Source organism: Homo sapiens, chromosome 19, assembly GCF_000001405.40.
Source record: "Homo sapiens chromosome 19, GRCh38.p14 Primary Assembly".
In the NCBI taxonomy this organism is placed as follows: domain Eukaryota; kingdom Metazoa; phylum Chordata; class Mammalia; order Primates; family Hominidae; genus Homo; species Homo sapiens.
In genome coordinates, this window is record NC_000019.10 from 812,443 (window position 1) to 824,322 (window position 11,880).

Below are 11,880 nucleotides of genomic sequence, written 5' to 3' on the forward strand. Positions count from 1 at the left end.
CTGCGTGGGGCGTGCGGGCCAGAGCGAATGACCAAGAGCCGGACCTCGGTTTCTGCCGCTTTATTGAGCATCCGCGCGGCCGCCCGCGCCCTCGGCCCGCCCCCCGCCCGCCCCCGGCCCCGCCGCGCTAGTCGGGGAAGCGGCGCGCCTGCATCTTGCGGAAGTAGCCCTCGGCCTCCGCCTCCGCCTCGCGCTCCGCCAGCCCCAGGCCGCCCGCGTGGCGCCGCAGCGTGGACTCCCGGCTGCCCGGGCCCAGCGCCCCATCGGCCGCGCCCAGCGGGGGCAGCCCCTCGCCCGTGGCCAGGTTGACGGTGGCCACGGCCCCGAACCGCGGCTCCTCCTGGTCCACGTCGCTGACCGACGAGCCGGGGGACACGCCCGGGGGCTTGGCCCCGCCGCGGAAGCCGCGCGCCAGGTCCCCCAGCTCGTAGCCGCCGTCGGCCTCCGCCTTGGCCCCGCCGCCCGCCGCCTTCCACTCCCAGGGCGCGCCGCCGGCCGACAGGTGCACCACGGGGTGGTGCGGCGCGTGCGCGTCGATGGTCACGATGCTGGCGGAGTCGCGGTCCGACGGCGACCGGTACTGCGAGGAGTCGGAGCTGGCGCTGGACGACGACGCCGTCTCGGCCGCCTTGGGGCCCGGCGCGCCCGGAGCCTTGGACATGGCGATGACCTGCAGCAGCCGCGGAGGGTTGGCCACTGCCGCCCCGCTCTTCTCGGCCATCATGAGCCACTTGGCGCGCACCCCGGCGCCGCTTTTGGGGGACAGGCCGGCCCCCGTCTGCGCGCCCTCCTCCGGGATGTGCACCAGCGGCGGCGGCCCCGCGCGCGGTGGGAGGATGACCCGAGGCCCCAGCCCCGGCCGCGCCTGCACGGTGGGGTAGAGCGAGGGCGGGGCCGGGCCCTCGTCCTCCTCCTCTTCCTCCTCCTCCTCTTCCTCTTCGTCCTCCTCCTCTTCCTCCTCCTCCGCCATGGGTTCGGCGGGCGCGCGCAGGTGCCCGGGGCTGGCGTCGTCGGGCAGCCCCAGGCCGCGGCCCTCCAGGCTCTTCTGCTTCCACTCGCTGATGAGCTGCTTGGAGCGCGAGGCGTCCAGCGGCACGTGGATGGTCATGTGGCGGCGCGCGGGGTCGTCCAGCGAGGGCGCGCTGGCCCTGGGCAGCGTGTGGCTGAAGGTCACCATGTTCTCCTTGGCCATGGGGCTGCGCGGGGCCAGCAGGTCCACGTCCACGCTGGCGCGCTTCAGGCTGCCCAGCGAGGTCTTCTCGCGGGCCACGGGCCGGGGCGCGCCCTCCAGCCGCCCTGGGGGCCCCAGCTCGTCGGTGCTCACCGACTTATTCTGCTGATAAACCGAGTCGTGGCCCCGCTGCGTCAGGGCCCGCAGCGCGTCCTTGGCGGGGGCCGGGGCCGCGGGCTTCTCTGCAGGTGGGGCCTGGAAGTTGCCCACCGCGTGGCAGGCCTGTCGGGGAGAGGGGTCTGGGGGTGAGGCCTGGGGCTCAGAGGGCTCCTCCCCTGTGATCGTTGGACTTGCCGCGGGGGGCTCTGGACCGGGGGTGGGGGCTGGCAAGCTCTTGTCCAGTGGGACCGGTTCCCACCCCAAGGTTGCTGACCCAGCACATCGGGCAGGTCTGAGCCCACGGGATTCTGACTCCAGCATTCCAAGGGCGAGACACTTCAGCACCCATGCCTTCCCCCTAAGACCCCTTCGGGACCCACGTCTATCCCCTCAGACACCCTGGGCACCCGTGCCTCCCCCCTAGAGCCCCTGGGCACCCATGCCTCCCCCCTCAGACCCTCTGGGCCAGCCCCCCGCCAGAACCCCTGGGAACCATGCCTCACCCCTCAGGCTACCAGCCTCCCCTGTCAGACCCCCTGAGCCTGCCTCCCACCTCAGACCCCTGGGCCAGCCTCCCCACTCAGGCCCTGTGGGCACTCATGCCTCCCCCCTCAGATCCCCTGGGAACCCATGCCGACCCCCATCAGAACCTGCCACTCACCAGGTAGGCAGCGATGCCCGCCCCGATGAGGAAGCCGGCATACACGTCCACAGGGTGGCTGCGGTACTGCGTGATCTGCGTGAGCCCGCATACGCCCGCGGCGATGGCAAAGGCGAAGACCAGGATGGGCTTCAGCAGCTTGGTGGTGTCCGAGATGACCGAGTTGAAGTACATCTGGGGCATGGGGGTTGGGGTCAGGGAGGGCTCCCCACGGGTCAGCAAGAGGGCCTGGGAAGGGCAGTGAGGGGCCGGACTCACCGACACATAGACCGCGGCGAAGGCTGACAGCGTGGCGTGCTGGGACGGGAAGGTCTTCCTGTAAGAGGCGTCCAGCGTGAGCCCCGCCCACCTGGGGACCCCAGCTCCAGTGGCCTCTCTGTGTCTCTGTTTCCCCGCATGTTCACCGGGGCGGAAGAAGGCTCCCAGTCAGGGGAGTTGGGGGTCCGGCTCACCGTGCAGACAGGATGGCGTGGATGTCGTGGCCGGAGCAGATGTCCTGCGTGATGTAGGGGTTGACCTCGCAGGACGTGCCCAGGAGAGTGTAGTTGGGCTTGCAGACGGTGAGGAAGAAGGGAGTGTGGTAACCCGTGGCCAGCTGGATCACGTCCGTCACCAGGGCTGTGGCACACAGGCCGAACACGTGGACACCTGCAGGGCGGAAGGCTCGGCCAGGCGGGGAGCTGGGGACCCGGGACAGCCCCACCCCCTGCATGTGGAGGTAGCTCAGGGTCGGGGCGCGTCCCGCAACTCACCCACAAACCGCACCGTACGCCGCAGGAAGGAGTTGAAGTTGCAGCCGCCGGCGTTGATGCTGCCCTCCGCCCCGGCGGGCCCCCCGGCACGGCCCCACAGCCGGGACTGCAGACAGTACAACATGCCCTCGGCCACCATGATCTGCCAACAGGGAGGGGGCGCTCAGGCCTCGGTGCCCACAGGGAGGGGGCGCTCAGGCGGGCTCCCATCTGCAGTGCCCACAGGCTGGCACAGGCCCCGGTGTGGATGTTCACCGAGGTGGCGGGGGTGGGCTCCCAGCCGTGGTGCCCACAGGCTGGCACAGGCCCCGGTGTGGATGTTCACCGAGGTGGCAGTGGCTGCGGTGCCCACAGGCTGGCACAGGCCCCGGTGTGGATGTTCACCGACAGGCCCCAGTGTGGATGTTCACCGAGGTGGCGGGGGTGGGCTCCCAGCCGTGGTGCCCACAGGCTGGCACAGGCCCCGGTGCAGGTGCTCACCGAGGCGGCAGGGGCCGCGAAGGCCAAGCTGAGCAGCATCAGCAGCGGGATGAGCTCCTCGTTGGTCTCCACGTAGGGCATGGAGAGAGTGCGGTCATAGCACTGGAAGCCCACCTTGGCCGGCTTGAAGAGGTCGGTCAGCTCCAGGAAGTACAAGGATACGATGGAAGAAGCCACTATGGGCAGCTGTGGGGACAAGGTGGGCCAGGTTCACCCTGCTCTCCCTCGCGGAGGCGTCTGTCCAGCCCTCCATGAATTCAGGGCCATCCACCGTCTCACTCACCTATCCACAGATCCAACCCGCTCCCAGCCACTCTTTCCCCCATGAGTTATTCATCCATCCACAGATGCTCCATCTGTAACTCGACCATCTACACATCACACACCCACTCACTCATCCTCCATCCACCCAAACACCTATGCCCCCAACATCCACCCACTCACCGACCCATCACCCACCCATCCATCCACTGGGAACCATCCATCCATTCATCCATCCACCCACCCACCCATCATCTATCCACCCATTCTCCACCCATGCACCCAACGGTACCCATCCATCCATCCATCCATCACCTAGCCATTCATTCATCTGTCCATCCATCCATCCATCATCCACCCATGCAGCCATCCATCTATCCACCCACCCAACTGTCCATCCATCCACCCACCCACCCATCCATCCGTCCATTCATTACCCAGCCATTCATCCATCCATCCACCCACCCATCATCCATCCACCCATTCTCCACCCATGCACCCACCCACCCATCTACCCACCTACCCATCCATCCAACCGTCCATCCATCCATTCATTACCCAGCCATTCATTCACCCATCCATCCATCCACCCATCCTCCACCCATGCCCCCAGTGGTACCCATCCATCCATCCATCCATTCATCACCCAGCCATTCATTCATCTATCCATCCATCCATCATCCACCCATTCATCATCCAGCCATTCATTCATCTATCCATCCATCCATCATCCACTCATGCACCCAATGGTACCATCCATCTATCCACCCACCCAACCGTCCATCCATCCGTCCATTCATTACCCAGCCATTCATTCATCCATCCATCCACCCACCCATCATCCATCCACCCATTCTCCACCCATGCACCCAACAGTACCCATCCATCCATCCATCCATCACCTAGCCATTCATTCATCTATCCATTCATCCATCCATCATCCACCCATGCAGCCATCCATCTATCCACCCACCCAACTGTCCATCCATCCACCCATCCACCCACCCACCCATCCACCTATCCATCCACCCATCCATCCATTGATCACCCATCCATCCATCCATCTATCCACCCTCCCACCCACCCATCTACCAACCTACCCATCTATCCACCTACTCATCCATCTACCCATCTGTCCATCCACAACAGTCTTGCTCTGTTGCCCAGGCTGCAGTGCAGTGGTGCCATCTCAACTCACTGCAACCTCTGCCTCCTGGGTTTTTGTATTTTTAGTAGAGACAGGGTATCGTCATGTTGCCCAGGCTGGTCTCGAACTCCTAGGCTCAAGTGATACACCCGCCTTGGCCTCCCAAAGTGCTGGGATTAGAGGCGTGAGGCACCGCACCCAGCCATGGCCTCAAGCCTTTTTTTTTCCCCCACTCTGTCACGCAGCCTGGAGTGCAGTGGTGCAATCTCGGCTCACTGCAAACTCCGCCTCCAGGTTCAAGAGATCCTCCCACCTCAGCCCTCCAAGTAGCTGGAATTACAAGCGTGCACTACCACACCTGGCTAATTTTTTGTATTTTTAGTAGAGGCGGGGTTTCACCATGTTCCCCAGGCTGCCCTCGAACTTCTGACCTCAAGTAATCCACCTGCCTCGGCCTCCTGAAGTGCTGGGATTACAGGCATGAGTGACCTTGCTCAGGCATGGCCCCAGTCGTAATTTCTGCCTTGTTATGGCATCTTAGCAGGGGTTCAGCCCTCAGTCCAGTCCTGGGGAGGGCACAGGTCAGGGCTGGGGGCTCCAGGAAGGGAAAAGCCATCACTGAACATCCCAGGGCAGAATTGGATCGAGGGAGCTGAGTTCATGTCCAGTGAGCATTCATTGAGTGCCTGTTGCATGCAGGCACGAGGCCCGGGGCAGACGCGGAAAGTGGGTAGCAGCGTTTGTTTGCACCTGACACCCGGTTTGAAAACCACCCACTTTAACCTGTGGGCGGCCAGCAGACCCCCTGTGCCTCAGTCTCACCAGCTGCAAAATGGGAATGATAAAGTAGCCGCCTCCAAGGGCTCAGGTGGAGATGAGTCAATGTGGGAGGTGGCCCCTGGCAACTATCTACTTGTTCTCTCCACTTTCATTATCAGCATGATTTTGCTGGGGCGGGCAGACAGCATCAAGCCCGGGGAGGGTCTGAGGTGGGGCCTGGGCGCGGCCTTAAAAATATCTAACCATGGGCCGGGTGCGGTGGCTCACGCCTGTCATCCCAGCACTTTGGGAGGCCGGGACGGGCAGATCACCTGAGGTCAGGAGTTTGAGACCAGCCTGGCCAACATGGTGAAACCCCATCTCTACTAAAAATACAAAAATTAACCCAGCGTGGTGGTGCGTGCCTGTAGTCTCAGCTACTCCGGAGGCTAAGGTGGGAGAATCGTTTGAGGACGGGAGGTGGAGGTTGCAGTGAGCTGACATTGTTCCACTGCACTCCAGCTTGGGCAAGACAGCAGGACTCCATCTCAAAAAATAATAATAATAAATAAAATAATAATAATAAGGCCGACCGCAGTGGCTCACACCTGTAATTCCAGTGCTTTGGGAGGCTGAGGCAGGAAGATCACTTGAGGCCTGGAGTTCAACGCTAGCCTGAGCAACACAGTAAGACCCTGTCTCTACTAAATACATACTTTTTTTTGGAGTCTCGCTCTGTCGCCCAGGCTGGAGTGCAGTGGCGCGATCTCGGCTCACTGCAAGCTCCACATCCCGGGTTCACGCCATTCTCCTGCCTCAGCCTCCCGAGTAGCTGGGACTACAGGCGCCCGCCACCGCGCCCGGCTAATTTTTTGTATTTTTAGTAGAGACGGGGTTTCACCGTGTTAGCCAGGATGGTCTCGATCTCCTGACCTCATGATCCGCCCACCTAGGCCTTCCAAAGTGCTGGGATGACAGGCGTGAGCCACCACGCACAGCCTACTAAAAATGATTTTTAAAAATTAGCTGGGGCTCAGGCTAGCCTTGAACTCCAGGCCTCAAGTGATCTTCCTGCCTCAGCCTCCCAAAGCACTGGAATTACAGGTGTGAGCCACTGCGCTCGGCCTTATTATTATTATTTTATTTATTATTATTATTTTTTGAGATGGAGTCTTGCTCTCTTGCCCAAGCTGGCGTGCAGTGGAACAGTCTCAGCTCACTGCAACCTCCACCTCCCGTCCTCAAGCGATTCTCCCACCTCAGCCTCCGGAGTAGCTGAGACTACAGGCACACACCACCACGCTGGGCTAATTTTTGTATTTTTAGTAGAGGTGTGGTTTCACCACATTGGCCAGACTGGTCTCAAACTCCTGACCTCAGGTGATCTGCCCGTCCCGGCCTCCCAAAGTGCTGGGATGACAGGCGTGAGCCACTGCACCCAGCCTACTTTTTTTTTTTTTTTTTCCGAGATGGAGTCTCACTCTGTTGCCCAGGCTGGAGTGCAGTGGCGCGATCTCGGCTAACTGCAACCTCCACCTCCTGGGTTCAAGCGATTCTCCTGCCTCAGCCTCCCGAGTAGATGGGATTACAGGCGCCCACCACTACGACCACCATGCCCAGCTAATTTTTGTATTTTTAGTAGAGATGGGGTTTCACCATATTGACCAGGCTGGTCTCGAACTCCTGACCTTAGGTGATCCGCCCACCTCGGCCTCCCAAAGTGCTGGGATTATAGGTGTGAGCCACCATGCCCGTCCTGCAACAGGAATTTAAGTGCAATTTCGAAAAATAAACAGATTTTCTATGAAGTGATGTGGGCAACTTAATGATATTGTGTTTGGGAGGGACCCACTTGCCCGGGTGTGAGGTAACGGATTACAGGCCAGCCGCTGGCCGTGTGACCTGCACGGGTCACTGCTTCCTTGAGACTAGGGTCCCGTCTTCCATCGAGGCTCTGGAAGGCCCATCACTAGAGCCGGTTTTCCTGGCCTGACATGCAAGGATGGATTAAAGTTATTTTATTTTTTGAGATGGGGTCTGGCTCTGTCATCCAGGCTGAAGTGCAGTGGTGTGATCTTGGCTCACTGCAACCTCCGCCACCTGGGCTCAAGTCATCCTCCATCTCAGGCTCCTATGTAACTGAGACCTCAGCTGCACACCACCACGCCCAGCTATTTTTTCTGTTTTTAAAATTTTGTAGAGATGGGTTTTTGCCATGTTGCCCAGGCTAGTCTTGAACTCTTGGGCTCAAGCAATCCATCTACCTGGGCCTCCCAATGTGTTGAGATCACAGGCGTGAGCCACCACCCCAGCCTTAAGTTACTCTACCATCCTGAGCCAGGTGTGTGCCAAAATGGTAGCTTTTTTGTTTTAGAGACAGAGTCTCTGTCATCCAGGCTGGAGTGCAGTGGTGTGATCACAACTCACTACAGCCTCAACCTCCTGGGCTCAAGCAATCCTCCCACCTCGGCCTCCTAAGTAGCTGAGAATAAAGGCACGCAGCACACGCCCAACTAATATTTTAATTTTTTCTGTAGAGATGGGATCTTGCTGTGTTGCCCAGGTTGGTCTCAAACTCCTGGCCTCAAGTGATCCTCCCACCTCAGTCTCCCAAAGTGCTGGGATTACAAACATGACAAACGTGAGCCACCGCACAGGGCAGGGGGCTCCATTTATTACATTTATTGTCTTCTTTTTTTTTTTCTAAGACAGGGCCTTGCTCTGTTGCCCAGGCTGGAGTGCAGTGGCATGATCTCTGCTCACTGCAACCTCCACCTCCTGGGTTCAAGCGATTCTCCTGCCCCAGCCTCCCGAGTAGCTGGGCTCACAGGCATAAGCCAACATACCCGGCTAATTTTTTTGTATTTTTTAGTAGAGATGGGGTTTCACCATGTTGGCCAGGCTGGTCTTGAACTCCTGCCCTCAGGTGATCTGCCCACCTCGGCCTCCCAAAGTGCTGGGATTACAGGCGTGAGCCACAGTGCCCAGCCTAATTTTTGTATTTTTAATGGAGAGGGGTTTCACCATGTTGGCTAGGCTGGTCTTGAACTCCTGACCTAGGTGATCCACCCGCCTTGGCCTCCCAAAGTGCTGGGATTACAGGCGTGAGCCACCGCACAGGGCAAGGGGTTCCATTTATGGTCATAAACTCCTCACTATGTGCCTAACACGTTTCCGTATTCTGTAGATATTAATTCCTATCAGCTCCAGGAGTGGAAAAGCGGAGGCCCAGAGAGGTTAGGGGCAGGGCACCAGCCTCACCATTAGCAGAGGTGAACTCAGACCCTGAGGCTTCGGAGCCCACGCGGCACCTGCACCCAACCCCACCCCCTCCGGCCTCCCCGCCCCCTCCAGGCCCCCAGCCCCCGACCCCCAGCCCCTCTGACCACACCTTGGTCAGAAGGGCTCCCCTCCTAGCACCTGCCCACAGTTCCCACGGCCTGGACCCCCCTCGGTTCCTCTGGAGCTCCTACTCGACCCGCACAGCCCAAGTCCTCTGCCCCACCCCCCATCCGCCGGACACCCCGGTCCTGCCCCGCCCCGAGGCCACTGCCGGGGCAGCTGCGCCGGCTCCGGTCCCCCAGCGCGGGGGTCTCTGCGGGCGGGCGGAACCGAGGCGTCTCCCCCGGGCCCCAGCGCGACCCCCACCCACCTCCACGAAGTAGAAGCAGGGCAGAAGCGTCATGCTGTCCTTCGGGATCTTGTTCTTCTCCTTGGTGGAGATCATGGTGCCGCGGGCGCCGCAGGCCGTGGCTGGAGGGGAGAAAGCGGCGCTGGAGGGGGGCGCGCAGGCGGAGCCCGGGGGAGACACGGTGGCCGGCGCCGGCGGGGGAGGGGCGGTCGGGGAAACTGAGGCTGCAGAGAGCGGCGTCCGCGTGGCCTCCCCGCGCCCCGGCCCAGCACGCGGCTTCCGGGCGCCCCTACACCCGGGATCGGGGGGTCGGGGCCGGGATCGCCGAGGAGGGCGGGGGGTCTCCGGGCGGGAGCCAGTCCCCGCGTGGTGGTGGGGGGCATCCGGGAGAACTGGGGTTCCGGGCGGCGGAGGAGACTGGGTCCGCGCCCCCAGCCCCACAGCCCCTCACCTGGCGCGGCCGGCGCCCAGCACAAAGCGCGTCTCCTCCGTGGGGCGGGGCCGGGAGCCGGGAAGGGGAGGGGGACGGGGGAGGGGAGGGTCCGGCCCGGAGACCCCCGCGCGCGCCCAGACGCCGCAGCCCAGACGCCGCAGCCAGGGGCGGGGGCTCTTTGTCTGGGCGCGTCCTCCGCAGGCCCCGCGCACCGTCCCCGCCTCCCTGGCGCCGCCTCCCACCGCCGGGGGTCTCGGGGGTCTCAGGTCTGCGCGAGCGGCTGGCGGGGCTCGGGGGTCGCGTCCTCCTCCCTTCGGGCCTGCGGCGGTGACGGTCCCGTCCTCCCCTCCCGGGTGGCTGCGGTCGGCCCGGGGGGCGCCATCGAGACGGGGGCGGAGGCGGGGGCGGGGGTTGGGGTTTCGGGGTCTCTGACTGTCTCCGTGTCTCTCACGGTCTCTCGCCGGCTCCGACTGCCCCCGCCCCGCGCCTCCGCCCGCCCCTCCGCGGAGCCCGCCGCTCGCTGGTGCGCGTTTCCATGGCGAGGCTCCCAGGGCGCCCGGAGCATCGGAGACAAAAGAGCTGGGGGAGGGGGACTGGGGGGTCTCCCGGTGCCTCCCTCCCTTCCCCCCGCACTCACCCTCGCCCCCTCCGCCGCGCCGGGGTCCACCCTCCGCCTGGCCGCAGCCGCTCGGTGCGCACGGCGGGATTGCGGGGCGCGGGGCTGGGGGCTGGGGGCTGCGGGATGCGGGCAGGGCCCTCGGGACCCGCACTCGGGCAGTGCCTGCTGTCTGCGTGCATTTCCTCCTCCATATGCGCAGCCCTGCGGGGTAGGGGCTGGTTGACCCCCGTTGTAGGGATGGGGAAACTGAGGCTTGGGCACCCTGGGTCGCAATCCGAGGTCTCCGGGCCCCAAACGGCAGGATTTACAAAAATCGGTTTTTGGGCCGTGCGCGGTGGCTCAGGCCTGTAATCCCAGCACTTTGGGAGGTCGAGGCGGGCGGATCACGAGGGCAGGAGTTCGAGACCAGCCTGGACAACATGGTGAAACCCCGTCTCTACTAAAAATACAAAAATTTTTAGGGTGTGGTGGCTCATGCCTGTAATCCCAGCTACTCGGGAGGCTGAGGCAGGAGAATCGCTTGAACCTGGGAAGCGGAGGTTGCAGTGAGCCGAGATCGTGCCACTGCACTCCAGCCTGGGCAACAAGAGCGAGACTCTGTCTCAAAACAAACAAACAAACAAACAAACAAAGAGTGACTTCCAGGCTGGGTGCAGTGGCTCAGGCCTATAATCCCAGCACTTTGGGAGGCAGAGGCGGGAGGATCCCTTGAGGCCAGGAGTTCCAGACCAGCCTGGCCAACATGGTGAAACCCCATCTCTACTAAAAATATAAAAATTAGCCGGACATGGTGGCAGGCGCCTGTAATCCCAGCCAGATGGGAGGCTGAGGCAGGAGAATTGCTTGAACCTGGGAGGCGGAGGTTGCAGTGAGCCGAGATGGCACCATTGCCCTCCAGCCTGGGCGACAGAAGGAGACTCTATCTCAAAAAAAAAAAAAAAAACAAACAAACAGTGACTCCAGAGGGTTGGAGCCCTGCTAGATACCTTAGTTTGCTCATAACAGGCACTGCTGCCCCCGGGAAGAGGGTCGCCTGCCATAAATGCGGAAACAGTTAAATGGCGATGGGAATAGGATGGGAACTCAATGGTGTTGCTACCTTTGGATGGACTCGGAGGCAGCCCAGCTTCCTGGGACAGGACTGCACGGACTGCCTGGGGAGGGGTCTTTGGCCCCCCGGTTCCTGCAGGGGGGCTCGGGGAGGCCCTGTGAGCAGTTGGTCACAGGTGGGTCCCATTCGATGCGATCCTGTTCCTCCCCAACAGCCCTGGAGAAGGGGGACGTTGCCTGCTGTGGCTGCGGCTGTTTTCCTGGCCTGTGAGAGGCGGGGCCAGAGTGGCCGTTGGGAATCTGGGTGTTGCAAGGTGACCACAAACAGCTCTCTGGGGGAGGAGGAGGAAAATGCAATTGATTTTCAGGAGCCTTCTGAGGTCAGGAGTGGGAGAGTGTGCAGGGGGACCCTCCTGGCAGCTTGGGGGTCCAACAGAAGATCTGGGGGAGTCTCAGGGTCTTCTCCCCCTAGGATCACCAGTGGTGGAGATGGGGCAGGCCTGGCCATGGAGGGCACGTTGCTTGGCTGAGGGGCCTGGGCTTGAGTGTGGGGCCTGGGCTTGAGTGATGGGAGAGTTCCGAGCAGGCCGGAGGGGTTGAGCGTACCAGACGCTGCTCAAAACTTTTATTTAAAAATGATTATTATTATTATTACTATTATTTTGAGATGGACTCTTGCTCTGTCGCCCAGGCTGGAGTGCAATCGTGCGATTTCAGCTCACTGCAACCTCCCACCTCCTGGGTTCAAGTGATTCTC

General features: G+C 61.8%; 1 protein-coding gene and 1 non-coding gene across 4 annotated transcripts; one reads left to right on the plus strand and one right to left on the minus strand.

Annotated features, from left to right (window-relative positions):
* Positions 1-45: 45 nt before the first annotated feature.
* Positions 46-11,355, minus strand: PLPPR3 (phospholipid phosphatase related 3). Of its 3 annotated transcripts, NM_001270366.2 has the most exons (8): positions 9,473-9,513; positions 9,043-9,143; positions 3,224-3,409; positions 2,744-2,885; positions 2,444-2,639; positions 2,250-2,307; positions 1,992-2,165; positions 46-1,453 (listed from the first exon to the last, which is right to left on the minus strand). In NM_001270366.2, exons 2-8 carry the CDS (start codon positions 9,115-9,117, stop codon positions 128-130), a joined length of 2,157 nt encoding a protein of 718 aa, NP_001257295.1. In that variant the 5' UTR covers positions 9,118-9,143; positions 9,473-9,513; the 3' UTR covers positions 46-127. The 3 variants fall into 3 exon arrangements, with proteins under 3 accessions (NP_001257295.1, XP_011526619.1, NP_079164.1); XM_011528317.4 differs by lacking the exon at positions 9,473-9,513 and adding an exon at positions 11,173-11,355 and having other exon boundaries at positions 1,992-2,307; NM_024888.3 differs by having other exon boundaries at positions 1,992-2,307.
* Positions 1,142-1,211, plus strand: MIR3187 (microRNA 3187). The gene has a single exon (NR_036154.1). It is a non-coding gene; the product is annotated as a microRNA 3187 (primary transcript).
* Positions 11,356-11,880: the final 525 nt, after the last annotated feature.

Excerpts from the sequence above, each read along its gene's own strand:
- PLPPR3 (XM_011528317.4), bottom strand. The coding sequence starts at position 9,117 with ATGATCTCCACCAAGGAGAAGAACAAGATCCCGAAGGACAGCATGACG. Across the intron at positions 2,640-2,743 it reads GCGTACGGTGCGGTTTGTGG|GTGTCCACGTGTTCGGCCTG; the intron begins GTGAGTTGCGGG and ends TCCGCCCTGCAG. Across the intron at positions 1,454-1,991 it reads CGGGCATCGCTGCCTACCTG|GCCTGCCACGCGGTGGGCAA; the intron begins GTGAGTGGCAGG and ends TCTCCCCGACAG.